The following is a 23,891-nucleotide window of genomic DNA, read 5'->3' on the forward strand; positions in this document are numbered from 1 at the left end:
GCTGCATATGCTCTGAATCAGTGTCCAATATTTAGTAGTTTCTTCTGTAGCCATAATTCACAGGTCCAAAAATCAAGGGGTAGAAATGAGTGGTGTCCACATTATTACTTCTAGCGACCCATGAGTAAAAGTTTTGCATCCTGTTCCCATGATTGTGCTCTTAGGTCTTAGTTCGAAAGGAAGAAATTCTTCCACTCAGACACCCTAGTGATTCCACTGAACTGCAAGGCTGCCACTGGCCACTTCGGGCTAGTCATGCCTCTGAATCAACCAGCAAAGAGGGAGTTACTCGCTGGGGTGATTGATCCCGACTACCGAGTAGAATTTGGACTACTCTTTCATAAGGAAGAGTATGTCTGGAATACAGATTTCTGCAAAATTTTATTGAAATTATAATGGACTTATACGTCCTTAGGCAGGAAGGACATCTTTACAGTAATGAGTTTCCATTAATGGACATGACCTTTCTCTCCATTTATTCAGATCTTTTAAATTTTCTCTAAAGTTGTTTTGGGGAAATAATATACATCTGTCACTATATTAATTCCTTGGTACATGGTATTTTTATAATACTGCATTTATTTTAAAGTTTAGTTTTGCTTTTTGTAGCTGGCTATTAGTTCTAGCAGGTATGCAATGGGCTGAGCTCTTTTGCTGGAATGAGATGTACCTGCATGGCAGTGACCCCTAACTGAGGTGTCAAAAATACAGATTAATAAGTGAATCCAAGCTGAGTTTGGGTGTGGTTGGTCCCATCTCATCACCATTGCTATTGGTAGTAGTAAAACTGATGTTTAAATAGTTCCCACCTGGTCTTGGTGAAAACATAGGAGGGGATCTTCTGTTGGGAGCTGGTTAACCGTGAGAATATGTCTACATGATCAGCAGGGTATATAAGAAGCCCAGCTTACACTATACTCCTACACTACGCTCCAAATAGAGTGTAGAGAACCAGAACAGTTCTCCCGTTCTGAGGTATTCTACACACACAGCTGGTTTCTTATCTGAGGAAGAACATCCTGGCAGAATCCTGCAGAGAGAAAAAAATAGAGCTTGTGCCAGCCTCTCCTGACCCTTCACTGAGGCAGCCTTTGGCTGAGATGCTTATCCTTATCTGATGCATATCATTTTGTTACTGGTTTATTGTATCCTTTTCTATCAACCAACCGTAGATTCCTAAGTGATGTGTTTTGTGGGTCCTGTGCCCTAGCATTGAGACATAAAGGTGATTTTAAAATATTGACCTGTATTTAGCAAACTTTTATACTCATTTAGACATTCTGAAATTTATCTGTAGATTGATTCACAAAGCATATAATCATAAATCTGTCTTAACTATTTCACTGTATAGAACTTCCAGTATAATGAACAGTATTTGAATATTGCAGACATCCTTGAGTTATTCCCAACATGAAATTCTTCAAACATCTCACCAATAAATCTAAGGGAAGCTGACTATTTATTAGTCTTTTTTTTTCACATGAATAGGTGAACTGTGTCAAAGGCCTTTTATTCATTAACTGAACAATCATTGGTTGATTTCTTAAAAAATTGTGGTGAACCAATAAAAGCTAAAGTTCCTTCTAATTGTGGGCTTAACTGAATTACAGTTTTAAAATGTGGTGTCTTCATTGCCACTCAGTTCAATATATTTTCTAACTTCCACTTGATTTAAAAGTCATGTTTGATAGTATATTGCCAGTTTGTTTAAGACAGGTATGATTAACTGCATCTTAGAGAACTCGTCTGTCCTGGACTGACTGAAGAATTTCTGCACTTTGCCATGTTCCATTTTTCCATGGAAACAGTGCTCTGCAGTGAGCCTCTCTCTTCAACTCCACCATGTCACTGGTCTACCTGGTCTGGGAGCCTGTCAAGAAAAGGGATCGCTTTGTCATTACTTCAATGCATTCTGACTCAGGAGATGCAGACTTTGACTCCCACCATTGGTCTTGATTGGGTCAACGCATTTCAGTGAATTTGAAACATGTATCAGATGCACATGACTTACATCCTAGTTGATTGACTCCCTGCAAGCTGAGGATTTCTATCCTCTTCCTGTCCAAAAGTGCCTGAGTTATACATTTTGTGTTCTTGAGAGCACAAACTACACAGCTAACCAGTGGGGACTACCATATGGAACCGACTGATTTTGAACCCCAGCTCACTGATCCTCATTTTTAATTTTTTTTTTAATTTCAGGGAGTCTGTGTAGTCCAGACCTGTAATGAAGGAATTGAAGAAATAATCACAAGGTATGTGTATGTGTGTATGCAGGTGGGTTCCAGACCTCCTGGGCCCACTGTGAGAGCGTCTCGGGCCTGCATCCCTCTGCCTGCGGACCCAGAAGAAGCTGGCAGGTACCAGAGATGAGCAATCCAGAGACCAGGAGGTTAAGGAAGCATTTATTGAAAACCTGTGATGTACCTCTGGCCCAGACCAAGAGGCAGAGTCAAGCCAAGGCTTCAATCAGTCACAGGAGACTGGGGATCTTGGGCCTGACCCCTACTCCTCACCAGTAGACTTAGCTGTATCAAAATAGCTCCTTTATTTCCTGAAAGCCCCTTGGGCTAAGGTCGGGGTGGAGTGTGTCCTCCTGGCCTATGAGGACATCAGGCCCTGCTTGGTGTGCAGCTCCAGGTCTTTCTCCTTTTAGGGGCTTGGGACTGGCCTGCAGGAGGTTAGTGTCCAGGGTGGGAATTTACACCCATCCCCATGGCCACATGGTCCCCTCCTGCCCCATCACCACCTTGGGTGGACCCAGTATGGGAAAGGCCCTCCCCATAGACCATCCTCTGAGGAGTCCCAGGACCCCCTCCCTTGTCCTCCCGCCCCTTCCGCTGTCCCTTCAGTAGCTGTTTCTGTTCCCTGACGCCCACTTCTGGGGCTTACCACATCTCCTGGGCCAGCCTCTTCCTCTTGTGTGCTCTGGGCTTGGGCAGGGACTTGCATTCCATGCTTTTCCAGCTCTTCCTTCAGCCTGGACAGGAAGAGGTAGGATGGGGGAAGGAAGAGGAGGAAAGGGTGGAGGAGGGACAAGAGGTTTTCAAGAGTCAGAGAGACAGAAGGTGGAGAGAGGAGATACAACATCAGTCATCTTCCTGGTGGGGGTTGCGGGGACAGGGCCTCCACACGCACCTCTGCCGCTTCTGCTGCTGTTGTTGGCACTTCTGCTGCAGCTGCTGGTGGCGCTGGGCAGCAGCTGCTAGGAGCTCCTCAGCCTTCCTGTGCTCTTCCTGAAACAGCTGCCTGGGGGGCCCAGTAGGGGGTGGTCAGCACCGGCCACTCCCTCCTCCCACCCTCTTCCCCTCCACATCTTACACTGTGGCTGCAGCCTCCTGGCTGCGGAGAAAGAGTCCCTCATCAAGGGTGGAGGGGCCCTCAGCCCCACACAGGGAGCACAGCTGATGCTTCACGTCTTCCAGTGTCGCCTTGACCAGCTTCTCTGCAGCACAAAGGGGCAGGTGAGCACATGAAGGCACGTGAGGTCAGATATGGGCCATCCACCTTCCCTGGTCTCACCTTCCTTGAGCAGCTGCTCCTTGCTGCTGTCCAGGGCACAAATCTCCTTTGCCAGCCGCTCTGGCATCTGAGGGGCAGAAAAGAGGCCTGTCCACTCCTCTTGGCTTTCCCCCATGCCTCAAAGAAGGCTATCTGGATCTTGTTTCATACTTACTCACTATGCCTCACTTCCAACAACTCTGCCCCTCTGTGCACACCAGCTACAGTACAGCCTCAGGGCCATGGCACTGGCCATTCCCTCCCTGTGCACTTCTGTCATCCCACATCTCTGCGGTACTGCAGTGGGGATGCTCATGGATTGTTATTTACAACAGATAAACCTGCAAGCACTGTGAGTCTTGGCTGTTTTCTGGAGGATCAGGTACCGGTTTAGCTCTGCAGCTCCTCCCCACTCCCCTCTGTCCTGGTGTGACCTCCTCACTGAGCCCTTCCTTCCTGACACTCACTGTCTATTTTCTTGTTCAGTGCCTAGGATCCTCCTGGGGGACAAACACGGGCTGCTTATCCTCGTTGTCTCCTTTGTGCCCGTGATGGTCCCAGACACATCCACGGACAGTGATGGAAGACTTGACCTTGGTCTCATCAGAGATCCCCCTGACCACTGAGCAGCAGGGTCACAAGGAGGTGACAAGGGACTGGATTCAGGCAATGTCGATCTTAGCACCACCAGGGCTTGCTTGGCGACTGGTTGTGGCAGGTGAGAGGAAGAAGTGACCGTTTGGGCCTGGTGCTGCTAGGGAAGATGTGGAAGGGGGAGGAGTGGCTTTGAGGGACTCACGTGGAAGTCCCAGAGGTCCTTGTGCTGGCCCATCAGATCTTCCAGCTGTTCCTCGAATGCCAACCTGGGAACCAACCACAGGCATGAGGGGATATGGGCTGAAATCACCACCTTCACAGCCTGTCCAAGTCTGTGGTTCTTCAGGCAGATTTTGGGGTGCTTTGCCCATGGTCTCTGCTCCACTGGGAACATCTTCACCACCTTGAATCTCCATGGCTCAGTGTAGCCAGCTTTTCTAACCCCCATCTTTGACATTATATCCCAACTACTGGCCATCCAAACCCCCTGCCTCAGATGCTAAGGTTTACCTCAGCTGTCTCTGTTTGTTCTTCTCTTCTTCAATCTGCAAGTTCAGGGCAGAAATTCTCTCCTTGCACTCCTGCAACATGGTGTGCTTCCTGGGAGAGGCGAGGCAGCCCTCAGCCATGTTCTCTTAAGCCCCAGGAGGGCACTGGGCTGGGGCTTCTGCCTCCCTCTATTGAGGCTATTTTTTCCCTCTACATTAAGGTCCTTCTCTGTAACATGTGGTAAGTAGGGAGTGACATGACCATTTGCCCCCTGGAAGTATTGTTGTCAGGTTAAGAGAGATTAATGTGGACATGGTTAAGTGAGCAAATGCACACACATCTTAGTATCATCTCGTTTTCCCAAAGAGCTGAAATCTCAGTGTGCCAGGGCCTGGGGCCTCTGGTAACAAATGAGCTAAATCAGGAGGTGGAGAAATGGATGGACAAATCGATGGGTGGATGAAAAGATAATGGATGAATGGAGAGAGAATGGACAAATGGTTGGCTCAATGCCTAAATGAACAGACAGATGAGTGAATAGACATCCAAGGAGTATGACAAAGAGTAAAAGGCAAAAAATAAAAACCAGCTGAAGAAATTTAATTGACAATTTAGCAAATGAATGTCTTGCCATTGAGAGAGTTTCCCTTAACACTACTGCCAGCTGTTGGAGCCGAAGGGGAAAGACATTCTTTGGACTCTCCATTGTTTAGAGGGAAACAATGAGAGCTGTGGGTCTCAGATTCATCTTCCTGCCTCTTTCTGCTCTACCAGAATAAAGAGGTAGTGCAGAGTTAGGCTCAGCTGGAAGCTCTTACCTGTGTGCCTCACTTTCCTTTTCCTGGCAATGCAGCCGGAGGATCCTCAGGGTCTCTGTAGGGAGAGCAACAGGGCCCTATGAGAACCTGTCAAGGTATTGGGTTTTGGCAGGGGGAACACAGCCAGATCATGTCAGGTCTGTGGACACCTGATTGAGCTTTAACATTTACTACATGTCTGGTGGAAGCCACAGGAGAGAGGCAAGCTGGGACAGGTTTCAAAAGGCTTCAGCTGCCATAGGGAGAGTGGGCTTCTGTGGGTTGGCAAAGGCACAAGCCTGGAGACAGGGGAGCGGCAAATACCTTGTTTTTTGCTCAAGATCTCCTTCAGGTGTACTTTCTCTCCATGCACTAGAAAACAGTGACACATTTTGGCATCAGGGACTATGCACTGCACCCTCAGGGATGGGGCTTGCTCACGGTCACATGGGAAGCTGGGCACAGCCTTGGCCCCAACCCAAATGTGAACCCTTGAGGTGAGCCCCTCCCTACCCTCTGGTGCCCACATTCCTTGTAAGCACCAAAGGGCCTTCACATTTACAGAGGGTGGCTGTGAGGGCCCTGGAGGATGCTCGTGCTTTTACATGGGGAGGAGAGAAAAAATACCAACACCCACGAAGTGGGATAAGGGCTATAAAGAAACACATCAAATAGGATGGGGCATGTGACCAGATGGAGGCAGGGTGCCATCTTTAAATGGGATGATTGGGGAATGCCAGTCATCCTGTCTGGGGACATTCTAACTTAGAGCTGATGATGTGAGGAAAGAGGAACCTGTATTATCTGAGGAAGCACAGACAGCGTCTGGCAAAAGCCCTGAGGTGGGAATGAGGTTGGAGGGTGTTTCCTGAACACTCCCACAAGCAGAGAGGAGAGGGGGAGATTGGCAGGACATGAGGCTAGAGAGGGTACAGGACCCTTGGCCATGGCAAGGATGCTGATTATCTGGAATACAGGGTTAGGGGAGGCTTAAGACACTGTGGGGACCTCTGGGTGACCCCCGGCTCTCTTACGCGAGTCCAGTTCCTTCTGCAGGGCCTCACAGATGGTCCGGGCCTCTCCTAGGTCTTTATTGGCTTTCTTTTTTGCTTCACCAAAGAGCAGAAAAACATTGTGTGAGTGCAGCCTCTATTCTCTTCCCAACAGTGACATTTCTCATTTGCCTTCAGGTAAATCTATAGTGGCCTAGATTTTATAGAGTAGGAAACGAGGCTTCCAGCTCTCCTTGCCAGGCTCTGCTGATAGCAGGGCCAGGATCATGGGCATGTAACTATGGCAGTCGCATGCTGAAATGCCCTGTACTTAATTTAAGGCTCTGCTGTTGCTGTTGTGAATAACCAGTAACTTTGGAACAAGGGACCCTGCATTCTCACTTGGCACTGAGCCCCGCAAACCATGCAGCTGGTCCTAGCTGGCAGCCAAGGCCCCTGAACTCACCTTGCTGGACCTCATTAATCCGGTTAATCAGGACCTCAACTCGGGGCTCTAGGCTTCCCACTGCACGGAGGAAAGGAGGTTGAGTTGACAGGGCAGGCAGAGTTGGGGCGGTTGCCAGCCTTGTGTCTCTGCTGCTTTCACGCAACACAGATCTATTGAGTACCTCCTGCAAGCAGGTGCTCTGTGGGGCCCTCACGGGGCTCACGTTCTGGGTGGGCAAGACTGGGAACAGACACAATAAGATACCGAATGGGGCTGCGGTAACCGTGTTCAAGAGAAATGAAGTAGGCCAAGGGAGGCTAAAGAGCAAAGGAGTGGGAAGTGCTCCTGAGATATGGGAAGGGACCTGAGGGCCCCAAATCAAGTGGTGGGGGGCAGGCCCTGCAGCAATTTGGGTGGGGTTGGGAGGTAGTCAGTGCAAAGACCCATCATGAGGTGGGAACATGGCTGGCAGGAGCCTAGCGAGCAAAGAGGGAGTAGCGGGTGAGGGGGAAGGAAGGGAAGTGAAGGCGGCAACTTCTGGATCTAATGGACTGCAGTGGAGCCAGATGGGTGACCAGCGAGAGGTTTGGGACAGGGTTTTGGGAAAACATTTTGCCTTCTATACCCTTTTGCTTCTTTAATTTTGAAACATGGGGCCCTATTTTTAGTTTAAGTAATTAAGTTTTAAAAGAAAGAGAAGGTGAAGAGGATTATTTCCCAAATTCGTACATTGTGGGGCCTGAAATTAAACCCACATCTGCCTGGCCCCAAACCTCAGGCTGTGCCTCACACAAAGGAGACACACGACCTTTCTGCAGCTTTTGCACCATTTCCATCAAGTCTTCAATTTTCTGTGAGGACGTGTCCTGCCCTGTGGAGACAAAACCAAACATTTCAGAATCAAGCAGGGCGAGAGGCCACCCCTGGGCTGAGACTGAGGCAGGCTGAGGGCAGGTCTCCAGCCAGAGTGGTGCCCCTTCTTCTTGTCCTGAGGTGGACAGTACACTAGATGAATCGGGCTCCTCCATGGTCAGCTTTTCCCTATAAGGTAAAATTATACCAGATATCCTCTTTGTAAAACTCTGGGTGAGGGCAGGGGTGCACTCTCACTGCTGAGGCTGTTCAAAGTAAGATCAAAGCTCCTGATATAATTCAAGAAAAAAAATGAGGGTATAAAAAACTGGAGCAAGGAGTCAAAAATCACTGTAACTGGCAGATGACATAATCTAGGAAGTTCTTAGAGAGTTTTCTACAAAACCATAAGGATTAGTAACAAAATGCATTAAGATGTTAGGTTAAAAACATATATAAATACAAACAAGCTTTCCTACATACAACCAATACTAACCCTGAAATTTCCCCATAAAATATTTCATGTTAATTTTTTATAATCACTATTGGAACCTATTTTTAACACTAAAATTAGTAGATCTAAGAAATTACTATTTATGGCATTAACATTGTGAAAGGAAAATAAATCTTTTTATAAATAAATCTTTGAAAATAAATCAATTCAAAGTCATCCCTCTGCTCACTGAGATAAATGCATATCTGATTTTGTAAAATAAATATCTGAAAATAATTCAGTCATCCTTCTTCTTACTCAGATAAATGCATATCTGATTGCCTCCTTTGGAAAGGCTAATCGGAAACTCAAAAGAATACAACCATTTGTCTTTTATCTACTTATGACCTTGAAGCAAACCCCCCTGCTTCAAGTTGTCTCATCATTGCTTTGAGTTGTCCCACCTTTCCAGATCGAACCAATGTTCATCTTACATATGTTGATTTGTGTCTCATGTCTCCCTAAAAAGCATAAAACCAACCTGTGCTCTGACCACCCTGCCACCCTGGGCACAGGTCATCAGGACCTCCTGAGGCCGTGTCACAGGCATGCATCCCTAACTTTGGTAAAATAAACTTCCTAAATTGACTGAGACCTGTCTCAGATTTTTGGGTTTCACATTTTGGCAACCACAAAGGGATTCTGAGTAGAGGTGCCCCTGACCTTTGACAAATATCCTATCAGTGCTTGCTAGCAGCTTGAGCTATCTTTATGGTTCAAACTAATATGACAAGTTGCTGAGTTCTGGAAGTCCCCCATCCAGGGAATCCCTCATTTCCCAAAATTCGCTCCAGATCCAAAGTTTATTTTTCTAAACAACTCTACTCTTTTTTTGGAGTTTTTCTTGCTTCCAACAAGGAAGGCAAGTTTTCCTGCTTCCATGAAAGTTCCTTTCTGGAGTTTGAACTCGCTCCCAACAGGGAAGACAAGTTTGAGGGTTTTTTTCCTGCTTCTAAGATGATAGAGAGCAGTCTTCAGCCTAAGACCCATCCCTAGGTAAGTAACTGAATTGGGGTTTGTCTTGGCTAAAGGTAAAATTAACAACCAGCTGGTCTTAATTTTTCCTTATCATTAGAGTGTCCAGTAACCATACAAGTTGTGTGATCATTTGTTTGTTTTGCTTAACTGGTATTTTTTTTTGTTGTTGTTTCTTTCTGTTTTTGTTGTTTTGGTCCTTTTCCTATTGGGTTTGGCCAATTCTGACTTGATCAAATCCAAAGGAAAGTTCCAAATTATGTGGAACAAGGCCTCTGAAGTGGCTAAATTCCCACCAGAAAAGGGGTGGTGGGGGAAGAAAAAACAGCCAGCAAAAGGAAAAAAGGGGGGGAAGATTTTTGATTTTGACTACTTAAGGGGATTTATTTACATAACAAGGCCACCTTTTTGCTAGCCAGGCCAAACTGAAAGAGAAAGGATTGTCACCCCAACTGCAGTTCCATAGCTAAGGTTCTGTCTTCTTTTTTCCATGACAGCCTGGGTTTGGTTCCTAAATCAAGACCTTTCTGGTTTGATACTTGGTACTTCTGAAATAGCAGATATTTGTCCTAGCTGAAATATGTTGATGAGATCTTAAAAATTTTTTAAAAAGAAACTCAAATGGTTAAAAGTCATCTTAATTAAAAGCTAACATCCAATGTGTGTGTGTGTGTGTGTGTGTGTGTGTGTGTGTGTGTGTGTGTGTGTGTGTGTATTTAAAAGGGCTTCATGATTTTTCTTTTTTCTCTCTCCTAGGACCTTGTGTTTTTTGGGCAAAAGTTTTTTTTCTTTTCAGTTGACTGAATGCTATTTTCTTCATATAGTTCTGCTGTCTCTCCTTTCCCTTGAACGCTCTGCTGCATGAGGGACCTAAAATAGTTTATAATAGCCTGAGGTTCCTTAAAGAAAATGGAGAAGGCACCAGACTCCCTTTTGTGGAGAAAATTGTTTTTCCTTGTGTATCCCCAAGAGTGTAAACACACAAGTTCATGTCAGCTCCTAAACTGTTTGCTTTTGTATTGTGTTACCTGATTTTTTTGTTTATTAATTATTGCAACAGAAGCTACTCCTGCATTTTTAAGGAAGAGTATATTTTAGACACTTAGAAATATTTTTTTAATGTTTTTTAAGTACACTGTAAAAGCATCCATGTGGTCGAGCCTCATAATAATTCTCCCTTTTTGCAGACCCAGGATTCAGTGTGGCCTCTTCCCAGAGCTCAGAGATCCAGTTAAAAGATAGGTAGTCACTATCTAAATAAAATTGGTCTCCTGTGATCCAACCACCTCCCACCAGGCCCCAACTCCAACATTGGGGATTACAATTCAACATATTTGGGTGAGGACACAGATCCAAACCATATCACAGGCCAAGGCCAAGGCCGAGGCACGGTTGAGAAGGCTCAGAGGCACCTGACCAAAGTTTGTAACAGTTTTGATTGACAATACCAAATTACCTTACACTGATGTATACAAGATGCCCAGTTTTTCATTTTTACCAATCACCTATGTTTCCAAACGTGTTTATCTTTGTCAACCAGATATGCAAAATTAAGGTGTCTCCTTACAAACTTTCTGATAGTAAATATCAAAAGTTTGGGTGCATCTTATTTTCTAAGACTATGTCCTAAGTAATTCTGGATATGGCTAATGGGCAAGGTGTTCATCACTGTATTGTTTATAATAGTGAAAAACTCGAAGAAGCCTAAATATGCCTTAGGGGATTTGTTAAATAAATTATAGCACATACACAGGATGAAATCATTTACAGCCATTAAAAATCATGCATACATGCATAAGGCCAGGCTCAGTGGTTCACATCCATAATCCCAGCACTTTTGGGAGACTGAGGCAGGAGGACTGCTCAAGCATAGGAGTTCAAGAGCAGCCTGAGCAATGCAGCAAGACCCTCTCTCTACAAATAAAAAATTTAAAAAAATTATCTGGGCATGGTGACATGTACCTGTGATTCCAGCTACTCAAGAGGCTGAGGTGGGAGAATCTCTTGAGGCCAGGAGGTCAAGGCTGCAGTGAGCAGTGATTGTACCACTGCACTCCAGCCTGGGCAACAAAGCACAATCTCGTCTCAAAAAAAAAAAAAAATCAAGCATAAAATTTTGTGAAATGCTTATTTTTGAGTTTATGGAGTCCCCTCATTTTGGTCCCACCTGAAATCTTACACAAATTACTGCTCATAAATTTTTGCATTAAGTTTTAAATTATTCAAGTAATTGGCATGTGTGAAAAAGTATGAAGAAAAAATTGAAACACCAACATTCCCTTTCCCCAGTCATTCCCCTTTCTAGTAATAACTGCAGCCAGTTAGGTGAAGACTAATAGACTTTTTACTAAAATGTATCTAGTGTCACTGACCCTAGATAACATCCCTGCTTCCTTTTTAAAACAGATAGACTAAAACTGGAATCTTGTCCTTTAAATTTCTTCTGTAGCTGGTCACTATAGAATGTTTGTGCCCCCATCCATAGTTCGTATGTTGAAATCCTAACCCCCTAGTGTGACTGCATTAGGAGGTGGGGCCTTTGGGAGGTGATTAGGTCATGAGAGTAGGGCCCTCAGCAATGGGATTAGTGCCCTTATAAGACCAGAGAGGTCTGCAGCAACTTCCCCAACATGAGGACACAATGAGAAGACAGAAGTCTATAGCCAGGAAGCAGGCCCCCACCAGACGCTGAATTGCACCTTGATCTTGAACTTCTAGCCTCGAAAACTGTGAGAAATAAGGCATTTCTGTTGTAGCAGTTTGAACTAAGGCACAAGCGACATTGGTTAAAACTTACCTAAATATACTAGGTTATGTGAGGAACATGGAGCCATGATACTGAAAGGCTAGCACACCGGCGGGCCAGCAGGTGCTTAATGAAAGGGATACGTTTGCGTCTGTCCTGTTTACTTGCTTTGTCCTTCGCTGGGGCTTTCACTGTGCCACATCTCACTGTAGGGATGCTTTCTGTGCTAAGCTTGTTTCAGTATTCAAACCTTCATTTTGTAAGAACATGACAGAGCACCTGCCATGGCATTCACGCAGGTAGGGCTGGAGGCAGCCACCGACGTTTGTTAATTGCAGAGTTTTAACTCAAGGGGGACAGATGATCTCAGGACAGAATGACAAGCTGAGTGACAGCAGGAGGGACGTCACCGTACAATTCTCTCCACTTTTCTGTAAGTTTGAAAATCCTCACAGAACACCCAGAGGCACACAGTGTCCTGAAGTGGAAACGGCCAGGACAGTGTCCTTTCTCTTTGTTGGGCTGCAATTTCTGGACTTCTGTACAACTCTGACCAGCTGCCTGTCCCCTCCCTTCCCAGGGTGAGGTAGGAGCCACTATGGCAGGTCGGGGTCAGGGAGAAACAAACGGGGGATCTGCGTGGAGTCGGCCTCCCCCGGCTCCCCGGGGCGTCGGGATGCTGGGTGGGGGGCCCCACTGTCAAGAACCAGTTTAGTGCGACTGGGAAATCTGGACACTTGCTGGTTCTAGGGAGAGGAAGGTGGAATTAGGAATTCCCTTGGGATTGGGAGCGTCAGGAAAATATCCTTTTTGTTTTAAGAGGTGTGTATGTAAAGTCTGTGGGACAACGGGAAGGGATGTCTTTTGACTAATTACCTAAACCAAAATTGGAGCAACTATGATAACAGTTCAATGCTTTAAGACAAAGTGGGGGGTGTGCGGGCAAGCACTCCCTCATCTTGGCCGAAATTTTTCTGAAGAAACCCGCTAAGTCTCAATCAGCAGCATCAGGACTGACAGGAAGAAGCAGCCGCCACCCGCGCCCCAACCCTGCCCCGCCTCGGCGAGGTCAGACCCTCACGCACAGTTCCCTGCCTCCCACCACTACCTCCGGCCTTCTCAGCCCTGTCCACGGCTCCTGCGGTGGGCTCGGCCTTCGATGTCAGGGACCTCCCCGCCATTTCCTCTCAGCTCGCCAGCGAGGGTGCCTCGGGAGGGAGCCTCCAGTGGTGATTGGAGCAACCGCCGCTGGGGGCAGGACTCCAGGCAGCGCGCCTGCGCAATGCACTCCTGCGCGCGCCTGGAGATGTGAGGTAATTCTCCGGCAGGCCTGCGTGGCACTAGTGCGCATGCGTAAAGGCGCGAGGGCTACAAACGCGGCGGGAAGCCCGCCAGGGCCACGTGCGGCCGTCCAGGCTTGCGATTGGCCCGCTGCCGGGTGCCCCCGCGCATGTGCGCTGGCTTCCGAGGGGACCGGCCCTGGTTCTGGAGGCCCTCCCCACCAACGAGCAGTACGCATGTGTAGCGCCGAAGCTTCCTGTGAAGTGTGCGTGTCTGACGGATGACGACTCCACAAGGCGCTGTGGCCCTGGCAGCCTCATGAGGTTGCGGCTCTGCGGGACCACACCGCCGCGGGAGTGCACGGGCCCCAGCGAGTGAAATCTGCGGCAGCCCCCGCTGGGCCCGCTGTTCCTGCGCGCGCAGAGGAGCGTAGCCTGCCCCTAGGCCGCGTTCCCGTGAGCTCCATGCCCACAGTGGCCGAGGCCGGCCACAAGCCCACGGTCCCTTCTGCACGGTCCCTGCCGCGCTGGGGCCACCGTGGAGGCCCGGAGGGCCCTGGGAGGAGGGAGGAGGAGCAGAGGCTTTCGGGAGAACCCAGCCCTTCACCGGCCAGGGGAGGCCGCGATGCATCGCGACTGGTTGTGAAGAGCCAGGGGAAGAACTTTACCGTGCAGGTGAGTGGGAGACATCAGAACACCTGCCTGTCCTAAATACGAAGCCTCGAATCCTAACCTATAAAAGGTTACCTTAGGGTTTAGGGTTAGGGCTACAGATTAGAGCTAGGGATTAAGGTTAGAGTTGGGGTTGGGGTTAGGGTTTAGGGGTTAGAAGTTAGTTTTGGGGTTAGGAGTGGGGTTAGAATTAGGGTTTGGGGTTAGTGTTAGGGGTAGGGGAAGGATTGGGGTAGGGTTAGGGTTGGGCTAGGGTCGGGGTAGGGGTAGGGTTTTACGGTTAGGGTCAGGGTTTTAGTGTTGGGGTTAGGGTATTGGGGTTAGGGTTTGGGGGCTAGGGGATTAGGGTCAGGGGTGGGGGTTAGGGTTTGGGATTTGGCTAAGGTTTGTAAGGGTTAGGGTTTTAGGGTAGGGGATAGGGGTTAGGGTTACGTGTTGGGGTTGGGATTAGGGTTAGGGGTTACAGTTTAGGGTAAGGGGTTAGAGTTAAGGGTTAGGGTTAGCATTAGGAGTTACAGTTGGGTTAAGGGTTAGGGGTTAGGCTTAGTGTTGTTAGGGTTAGGGTTAGGGTTAGCATTAGGAGTTACAGTTGGGTTAAGGGTTGCAGGTTAGGCTTAGTGTTGTTAGGGTTAGCTTCAGGGTTCGGTGTCAGGGTTTGGGGTGGGGTAGTGGTAGGTTTAGGGGTAGCGTTGTGTGTTAGGATTTGTGGTTACGGTTCGGGCTAGGGTTTTAGGGGTAGGCATAGGTTCGAGTTTGGGTTTGGGTGTTAGGTTTATGGCTAGCATTAGGGTAGGGGTTAGGTGTAGGAGTAGGGGTTGAGGTTATGAGTTGAGGTTAGGGTTAGGGGTCAGGGGTCCGGTCAAGGGTTGGTGTTGGATTTAGGGATTAGGGCTAGAATTAGGGGTTAGGGTTAGGGGTTTGTGTCGGGGTTGGGTTGGAGGCTTGGGTTCAGGGTCAAGTTTAGGGTTGGGGCTAGGGCTTAGGGTTATGGGTTAGTGTTAGCAGTTAGGGTTAAGGTTTAGGCTTAGGGTTTAGTGCTTGAGGTGGGGGTTAGGTGTTAGGGGTTAGGGTTAAGGGTTAGTGTTTTGCGTTAGTGGTTAGGGTTAAGGGTTATGGTTAAGGGTCAGCGTTAGGGTCAGGGGTTAGGGGTAGGGGTTGTGCTTAGTTTTAGGGTTAGGGTTCCTGGACGGATGGTTTTCCTGCTTGGGAATGTTCCTGGGCTGTGAGATCCACTCTTCTGGGCAGGTGGTTAGCACCTAACGTTTTCCCCTTACTTCCCCCCAAATTCTTAAGTCCTTTGGTCCATTTCATTACTTCTTTTGGGGAGGGCCTGATTCCTCAGGGCCTCAGTGGCAGAACCAGCCTGAGGTCACCTCCCTGTCCATGGGTTACCACGGCCCCTGGGCAGGCATGGGGAGCTGGGGTGGCTTGGGTTCCTGGCCTTGGCACCTCCCTTTGGGCGGCTCTGGAGTGTGGCTGGGCTGTTGGTACAGGAGCCACAGGCCACTGCCTTTTTGGCTGAGGGGACCCTAACATCCTGGAGCAGGTGGGGCAGGGCCCATGGTCTCCTCTAGGTGGGAGGTGGGAGGCTGAGGCGGCGTGGGCAGGCAGGTGGATGGCGAGGCAGCATGGGCAGGACGGTGGATGGCGGGTCCACAGGGGCAGCCAGCAGCTCCTGCACCCACTGGGGCTCCAAGACTGTGGGCAAGGGAGGAAGGGGGAGCCCAGGCCGGAGGATCCTGGGGGACGGTGCGGCCCGGGGGCCAGATGTGGTCACCGAGCCCAGCCAGGCCTAGGGCCGCAGCAGCCCCAGGGCACTGAGGGCGCCACCCAGCCCGACACAGAGGCACAGGCCGCCCGTGGGTCCAGCGCCCGAAGTCCACGTACAGTAGCTGTAGATGCCGAGCCGGTCCTGTTGCCTCCGGGAACCCAGTCCTCCTCGTCCTCCAGGCCGCGTTCCCCGGGTCCCGCGGCCCTTCTCCAGCCTGAGCCCGCCGCCCCGGCCGCAGCCACGCGCAGGGAGGAGCCCGGGGCACCATAGCACAGCGCCGGCCTCACACACACCCTCGAGGCCCCTCTCGAGCCCCCGCGGAGCCCTCCGCGGCCGCACGCAGAGGAAGGCTGCCTCCTGTAGCAGAGCCCAGCCATTCGCGGGTGCCCAGTTCATCTTCATGGGGCTAAACCTGCGGGAAGAGAGGGAAAGGGCCCTTAGTTTCCATGGAGATCGGGTGCCCAGAGGCGGAGGGCTCAAGGCTGGAGAGCAGAGGGACCCCCATCTTTTGTGGGATCAGGGTGCCCCCAGCATCTTGGAGGCCCACTGAGGCCTGGGGGGGCGCGGTTTAACCTCTAGCATCAGGGACTTAGGCCTGGGGGAGGCGCTGGGAAGTGGCAGGTGGGGCAGGAGGGGCAGGAGGGTTCTGCACCTGAAGGTTGTGCACCTGGATTGGGGGTGTAGAAGCGGGGCAGGAGCGTTCAGGCCTCTGGGGGCGTCCAGGCCCGGGCGGGGGAGCAAGCCTGGGGGAGGGAGCTCTGCACGCGTTGCTGGGATGTGGGGGGCGGGGGGAGGCGGCATGGGGGGAGGGGCGTTGTGTTTGGAGGACGCGGTAGCCGGGACCAAGAGCTGGCTCAGATCAGGGTCTGGAACGGGGACGGGCCGTGCCTGGGCCTGGTCCCCACCTTTGGGGCCAAAGCCTGGGTGCGGGCCTTGCGGATGCTGCGGAGGACAAGCGGCTGCTGACACCGTGCGGACTCCGCCCCAGCAGACCCGTGCCCCAGGGACAGTCCCTCCCGCGCGCGCCCAGCGCTCAATGCCGTCCCCGGCCGCCTAGTTCAGCAGCTGGCTGGGGGCGGGACGGGGTCGAGTTGCGGGGCCGCGTCCAGACACGGCTGTGCGGGCGACAGCTGCATCCCCTCCCCGCGCCGCCCCTCGCTCCCGGCCCCGTACCCGCCCCAGCCTCCCGGCCTTACCCGCCACGGGCCTCGGTTGGAACCGCGCGCTGGAGTATCCGTCCCTGAGGCCGCGGCCGAGCGGGAAGGAGCGGGCGGGCGGCGGCGCGGACCCTCAGCCGGAGCGCGGAGCCGCGGCGCCTGGGTTTTGCGCGAGGCCTCCGCCCTGGGATTGGGGCGGGCAGTCGCGGAGGCGCATCCCTGGTGAGCCGGTGGGAGGGGAAAAGGATGTCGCGTCCCCCATCCTTGCGGCCTCCCGTCCTCCGTCACCAGCCCCCTCCGTCTCCTGCATCACAAGGCCCCGTCCCCGCGGTCCCCCGCGACCCCCGCACCCGGCTCCGCTCCACCCGCCGTGCTTCCTGCCCCTCCACACCCTCGTCCCCACCCGGGCCCATCCCCCTGTGAGCCCTGGTGCCCTGGGATGAGGGCCGAGGTCCTGAGCGGAGAGGGTGCTTGTACCAGCCCCATGGTGGCTCGAGCCCACCCCGCGGCCCCTCCCGTGGCAGGTGCGGTTTCTCCACCGGTTGTCAGCTGCGGGGCCGGGCGGAGACCTCCTCAACCTCCGGCCTTGTTTCAGGGAGGATGGGGTCGACCCTTGCGATCCCCAGAGGCCCCCCATGGCTCCTTCTGGGCTGGCTGTCTTCCTCCTGTGGGTTCTGATGCCACCTGGGCCGACGGCGTCTTCTCAGCCCAGGGCGGCCGCGCCTCCGGTGAGTTTCAGCTGAGGGCGCGCGGCCAGCTCCGAGCCTGGCTCCGGGTGCAGCACCGGCCTGGGACCTCTGCTGTCCCGTGTAGGGGTGCCCTGCAAATATGTGATGAATAAGTGAAGAAATACGTTTTATCTTCTAACTTGCCGGATGTTAGAAGGAAACCAAGCTTATGCTTCTCATTTATAGCTACCGTTAAGGATTGGACAGAAGCTTAGCTTTTTGGGTGAGACGGACAACAGTGTTTTTAGAACCTTTGGCAAGGAAGAGCTGGAAAGAACATGTATTTGAAAGTGACTGACAGGTCTTCTGGCCCTAGGGGGCCACCTGAGCAGGTGCACCCAGCTTCCCTCCAAGACAGAAAATAAATTAACAAGGAGAGCAGGAAGGGCCCCGGCAGACTCCAGACGGGAGGGGGTGCTGCCCATCAGGCAGAAGGAGCTTGGAAGGGAGGGGCCGTGGCCATGGGACGTGGAGGTGGGAGCGGGGGTCATCATAGGTCTGCACACTCGGGTTGAGTCCCCCTTCCCCATCACACACAGGACAGCCAGCAGTGAGCTGCTTACCCCAAGGAGTCAAGGGGGTTCTTGGGCAACCCCTGGTGCTGGAGCCGGCAGTGGACAGCACCGCAGCCAGACCTTGCTTATTTTTGGCTCATGAGGAACATCTGTGACCGTTCCCTCCCCTGGCCCTGGGAGGGGATGTGTGACCTCCACTCAAGACAGCCATGCGGCTCCTCCGGCTGCGGGCGGGGAGGGCATGTTTCCCAGCACAGGCCCAGGACTGCCAGCTGAGAGGCTGGGAGGGGCCCCTCACCCCTAGACTTTGCATGTGAAGCCAAGCGTGGAGCCTCACAGGGAATCTGAGATGGGAGCCAGTGAGATGGGGGCAGGACCCAGAGGGGAGAAGAGGTCCTGGGGATGCTGTGGATCTGGATCCAGCGTGCGGGAGCTGAGGTTCCGGAGTGAAACACTGCCTTTCATGGAAGCACGTCTTCCTGTCACCCATCGGCTTCATTTTAAAGGATGAAAATGTATCAGACATTCAAGGAGAGCTGCATCACATAAAAGAAAGACCAGGCAAAGAAACGGAAAATAAATGGATTGAGAAATGTGAATGACTCCAATCATTCCAATCATTGGAATGAATGGATTGGATAAAACTCCAATCCATAGACTCAGATTAGGGAGATATATTTATATAATAAGAACAGGAAACTGTGAAGATGAAATAAGACAAAAAAGACACTTTTGAGATTAAAAAATTACTGCAAAAAAAAAAAAAAAAAACAACAGAAGGATGGAATTGTATATTTAAGGAAATGTTTCTGGCAAAAAGGCAGCAAATATGAAAGAAAAGGGGATAGACCCAGGGGATCCATTTTGGGCTCTAACATCTAACAGTTGTTCCAAGGCCGAGAACACAGAATGGGAAAAGGAAGGGGGAGGCGGTGCTCCAGCTGATTTTATGATTCCAGAAGCCTTCTATCTTAAGATGTATAGGATGTATCTTAGGGTGTATAAGAGAAGCGCAAGAGAAACATTTAGGCTGTTTTATGTTTGAGTAGAGACATGAAAGTTTTAGATAAAGCAGCAGCACAATGAGTCCAGCGGCACATCAGAAAGCAAATCACCATGATCAGGTCAGGTTCAGGGTGGTTTTATGTCATAACATATGTCAGTGTGCTTTACCTATTAGTGGACCAAAGGCAAAAAATACGGTTTTCTACAGAGAAAGACAAAGCATTTGATTTCAATCAACATTCGTTTGTGGTGAAACATGTTGAGAAAACTCATCATAGAAGTGAAATGTTTTCTTTGATAAAGGCTAATCTCAGAAGACATACGTAGTGGAGAGCTTTTAAATGTATTTTTAAAAATACGAACCAATGAGAAGATTGCCTACTTTCACCGCTTCTGTTTAACACAGCATTGGCAGAGCTGCCACCAAGAAGAACACAGCACGTTGAAGGCACGGTGGCTCCTGAAGCTGCAGCCCTGAGACCTGATTGTACCATGGAAGGTGGGGTGGCTCCTGCAGCTGTAGCCCTGAGACCTGATTCCACCACAAGTGCTGCAGCTGGCAGAGGCCACAGGACATAGGCATAGCTGGTGAAACCTGCAACTGAGGGTGTCGGGGGCTCCTGGGAGAGCCTCCGTCCCCGCTAAGGAGAGGGGCTGCGTAGAACCTGTGTGCTATTGTCCTTTCCCCCTTTTTCCTGCTGGGAGTGGGACTTGGTGCCGAGGGTGGCTCCTGACATCGGAAGACCCCAGGATGCTGGGTCAGCGGCTAGGCGGGTGGAGGGTGGGGTTGTCCCCGGCACACGGCGGTGCTGCTCTGCCACTCTGCACTGCTGGGTGTCTCACATCTCATCCCTGTATTAAGCAGGTACTCCCTAGACTTGCAGCCAGATGTATACCTTAGATTTAAAAGATGGTAGAATTTCTCTACCAGAACAAAAAATAGCTTTAAAAAATATAAGATAAAAAGCCATTCATAGTCTGGCACGATGGCTCATGCCTGTAATCCTAGCACTTTGGGAGGCCGAGTCGGGCAGATCACCTGAGGCCAGGAGTTCGAGACCAGACTGGTCAAAATGGTGAAACCCCGTCTCTACTAAAATTACAAAAATTAGCTAGTCATGGTGGTACATGCCTGTAATCCCAGCTACACGGGAGGCTGAGGCACGAGAATCACTTGAACCCAGGAGGTGGAGGTTGCAGTGAGCTGAGATTGAGATTGCGCCACTGCACTCCAGCCTGGGTGACAGAGCAAGACTCCTTCTCCAAAAAAAAAAAAAAAAAAAAAAGCCATTCACCACAGTCCGCAATGTAAAAGACCTCTGTGGAGAACATCAAAAAGTTATTAAAGAATATAAAAGAAAATCTGCATAAATGGAGGATGCACAGGATATTGTGAAGGTGACCGTTTGCCACAAATTGATCCATAAATTTAATGAAATTACAATAAAAATCTTTGCATAATTTTTAAAAGACTGTTATGAACTGAACAGTGTCTCCCTCAAATTCATGCATTGAATTCCCAACCCCTAATACTGCAGGGGTGGGTGCATTTGGAAATAGGACCTTAAAGAGGTGACTAAGGTTAAATGAGGTGAGGTGAGCTTGATGTCGTTAACAAGAGGAACTCAGGACCCAGACACCCACTGTGGGATGGCTCTGTGAAGACATAGGGAGAAGATGGTGTCTACAAGCCAAGAAGAGAGGATGCAGAAGAAACCAACCCTGCCAAACTGTGAGAAAACAAATTTTTGTTGTTTAAGCCACCCTGTCTGTGGCACTTTGTTATGATAGTAACAAAATAGCACAGAACCCAAAAGTTTCTAAAGTCTATATGGAAAAATAAATGCCTAAAATAGCTATTAATAAAATAATTTTGAAAAAGAAGATCAAAGAAGAGTAACTCACCATGTCATATTAAGACGTTGTAGAAAGCCATAGTAATAAAACAACCAAGTCTTTGCAAGGATTAGACAGAGACCAACACGAGAACAAGGATACCATTAAGAAGCTCATGTAGGAACCTGTCCATGTCTACAGGAATAAAAGAAGATTGAGAATTTTGGAAGAGACTGGGAAACTAAAAGGACAAAAAGGAAAGTCTAGAATCAAAAAATACATTTTAAAACACAGAAGATTAGACATGGCTAGAGAGAGAATTAGTAACATGGAAGATCAAAATATCCAGAAAAAAAAAAAGGAGGCAGAGGGTACACTATAAAAAGGCCTGACATGCCATGTAATAGAAGCAATGGAAGAAGATAATGAGGTAGGTGTAATATTTAAGGAAATAATCACCAATCAGTTCCAAAAACTGATGAAAGAAATTAAATCATGAATTCTAGAGGCATTACAAACTCCAAGTGCAATAAATACAAAAAAAAGCATACCTAGGTAAGACAGCTTTAAACCAAACAACTTCCAGAAGCAGGGGAAACTCAAATTACCTGCAAAAGAGTAAAAGTAAGACTGGCAGCTGGCTTCTCAACAGAAAGAGGCAGTGGGTGACAAAGCAGAAATGCAGTTTGTCAAGTCCCTGTCCCAGCATCACAGAGCTGACTGTGAAGGGTGGTTAGAAGCTAAGAGGCAGCAGATTAATAATTGGCATAGATAAAAAAGTTACCATGCAAATACTAAAAAGAAGCCAGTGTAGCTATATTAATGCCAGACAAAGTAGACTTTATGACCCAAAGGTTGAGGTAAAAGCACTACTAGGGACAAAGAGTAATGCCTCTTAGTGATGAAAGGTAAATTTACCAAGATGATAAAACATTTCTAAATCTGTATGCACTTCATGACATAAGCTCACAATATACAAAACAAAAATAGTAAGAAAGATTTAGAGTGAAAACTCATTGACATAAATTTAAAACTCACACACAACACCACACATCTGTTGAGTACCTCTCTCTCCAAGGACACATGCTGAATGCATCACACTGGGTGGCTGTGATGAGGGAGGTGGGATTAGGGCATGGAAAAACCGTGAAATCAAGTGAGAGATACCTCCCCACAACCAGGTGCCGCAGCCCAATAGGAAGAGACGTGCTTGGTCAACTTAGTTTCTGCCCTCAAGCACCAGAGAGAAAAGGCAGAGAAACCAGGTAAGGGCACATTGTCTATTCATTAGACCCATGGAGTTTTCAATAAAAGGACACAAAATGACATTCCTGTTTCTGAGGAAAGGGGACACCTGTGTGTTTGGTGGTGCTGCCTGGATGTGTCAGAGCCCTTTGCTCACCTGGCCTCAGGCTCTGCTCTGAGGAGCTGGGACCTCATGGCAAGGAGACCATCCCTCTGGGCCTGCAGGACTGGGCAGAGTGGCTGGCCTCCATAGCAGCTGTTCATCCGAGAGGGTCAGGGGAGAGGCCGTGAGAGGGGGCTTCTTGTGAGCTCCAGGCCCAGCTTCTCCTGGGCTGGAGGCTCCTAGCTGCTGTGGCAAGGAGCTGTCCTGGCAGTGCTGAGGCCCAGGTCTGGCATCTCTGCCCCTCCACTGCTCAAGGAGATGCTTGCCTGTGGCCACTCTGTGCTCTTGGCAACTCTGGGTGATATGGGCGAGGGCAGGACTTGCTGACTGCCCTGGTGGGAGAGGGCTATGGCTGCCTTGGGTGGTCACCAGTGTCTGTGAGCACAGGGAAGGAGGAAGAGGGATTGGGCAGCTCTCCCTCCTGCAGCTCTAAAGGGGAAGGGCCTGGAGGAGTTTGGCCAGGGCCTCCCTGATGTTGCAGTTCCCAGGCAGTAGATGATGGGTTTGAGCAGAGGGATCCCAACCAAGTAGACCCCTGACACCAGCTTGATGAGGTTAGAGGAGCCGCCACCCCAGGTGGGAGGCATAGGTGGGGAAGGCCTTTAGCTGCTGGGCCTTTCTGGAATCCTCAGCGATCTGGCCAGGATGTGGGTGTAGGAGACCGTGGTTGCCTGCAGGGAAGCCGCAAGGATCACCTGGGCTGCCTGAGTCCGCATTTCTATGGTAGTGGTGCTGGAGCAAGAGAGCCCTAGCGGGGGTGGGATATCACAGAAGTGGTTGAGGACATCGGGGCTGCGGAGCCTCAGGCTGGAGTTGAGAGCCGTGGACACAAAGGAGGCTGGGAAGCTGCTGAGCTGGGCGCTGATGGCCAGGTGCAGGCAGAGCCAGCTGCATGGAGTCCATGATGGGCTGGGTAGTGCAGCAGGTGGCAGATGACTGGGTGCCAGTCACAGTCCATGTTGGCCGGGAGGACGCACTCAGAGGAGCTGAGTGAGAGGAAGAGGAGCAGCCAGGTGAGGTGCCCCGAGAAGGAGATAGATGGTCGTCGCTCGTGCTGGGAGTCCGGCCAACAGCTTTGGGACGGTGACCGAGGTGTACAGAGTCTCCAGCACCGAGAGTTGGGCCAGGAAGAGGTGTGTGGATATGTGCAGGTGGTGGCTGGCTCTGATGGTCCCCACGACAGCCAGGTCCTCTAGGATGGTCACCACATAGATGATGAGGAGTGACCAAATAGCAGCCCTTGAAGATGGTGCAGCTCTGGGAAGCTCAGAAACACAAACTCTGTCACCACAGTATTGCTGGAATTGTACGTGGCCCTCCTGGTCAGGCAAGTCACTTCTCAGCACTCCAGAACAGTGGGGAGACTAGGCTGTGGTGTGTGATGGGGTCACAGCCCTGCTCCACTGGTGAGAGCTAGGTAAGAGCGCTGTAAGCCCTCCTGGGATCTTAGGGCAGGGGCTCAGGCTCACAGACTGTCCCACCATGCACCTTTGGGACCTGCTGCAATACTTATCTGTCATCCCCACCTCTCAGCCCAACATGCCCACTTACCCAGAGCTAACGCCTGGCCAAGGGGCCTTGGGACCTGTACACACTCATATGATCAGGTATACCCCCTCTTACACCTAT

The 23,891-nt window shown here is 50.2% G+C and overlaps 1 protein-coding gene and 2 pseudogenes across 4 annotated transcripts; all 3 read right to left on the bottom strand.

Moving 5' to 3' along the window:
• SYCE1 (synaptonemal complex central element protein 1) lies at positions 1,441–15,833 on the bottom strand. 3 transcript variants are annotated; one of them, NM_130784.4, is made up of 13 exons: positions 15,730–15,833; positions 7,633–7,695; positions 6,843–6,902; positions 6,419–6,493; positions 5,709–5,756; positions 5,406–5,460; positions 4,609–4,698; positions 4,301–4,364; positions 3,523–3,589; positions 3,322–3,445; positions 3,139–3,249; positions 2,893–2,980; positions 1,441–1,870 (listed from the first exon to the last, which is right to left on the bottom strand). In NM_130784.4, the coding sequence occupies exons 2-13, from the start codon at positions 7,658–7,660 to the stop codon at positions 1,832–1,834; spliced, it is 849 nt and encodes a 282-aa protein (NP_570140.1). In that variant the 5' UTR covers positions 7,661–7,695; positions 15,730–15,833; the 3' UTR covers positions 1,441–1,831. The 3 variants fall into 3 exon arrangements, with proteins under 3 accessions (NP_570140.1, NP_001137235.1, NP_001137236.1); NM_001143763.2 differs by lacking the exon at positions 15,730–15,833 and adding an exon at positions 12,999–13,125; NM_001143764.3 differs by lacking the exons at positions 1,441–1,870; positions 15,730–15,833 and adding exons at positions 2,389–2,671; positions 12,999–13,125.
• SPRNP1 (shadow of prion protein pseudogene 1) lies at positions 14,476–17,500 on the bottom strand (annotated as a pseudogene). Its single transcript, NR_033789.2, has 2 exons — positions 16,810–17,500; positions 14,476–16,025 (listed from the first exon to the last, which is right to left on the bottom strand). The product of NR_033789.2 is annotated as a shadow of prion protein pseudogene 1 (transcript).
• Positions 22,598–23,677, bottom strand: OR6L1P (olfactory receptor family 6 subfamily L member 1 pseudogene; annotated as a pseudogene).

This window comes from Homo sapiens, chromosome 10, assembly GCF_000001405.40.
Source record: "Homo sapiens chromosome 10, GRCh38.p14 Primary Assembly".
In the NCBI taxonomy this organism is placed as follows: Eukaryota; Metazoa; Chordata; class Mammalia; order Primates; family Hominidae; genus Homo; species Homo sapiens.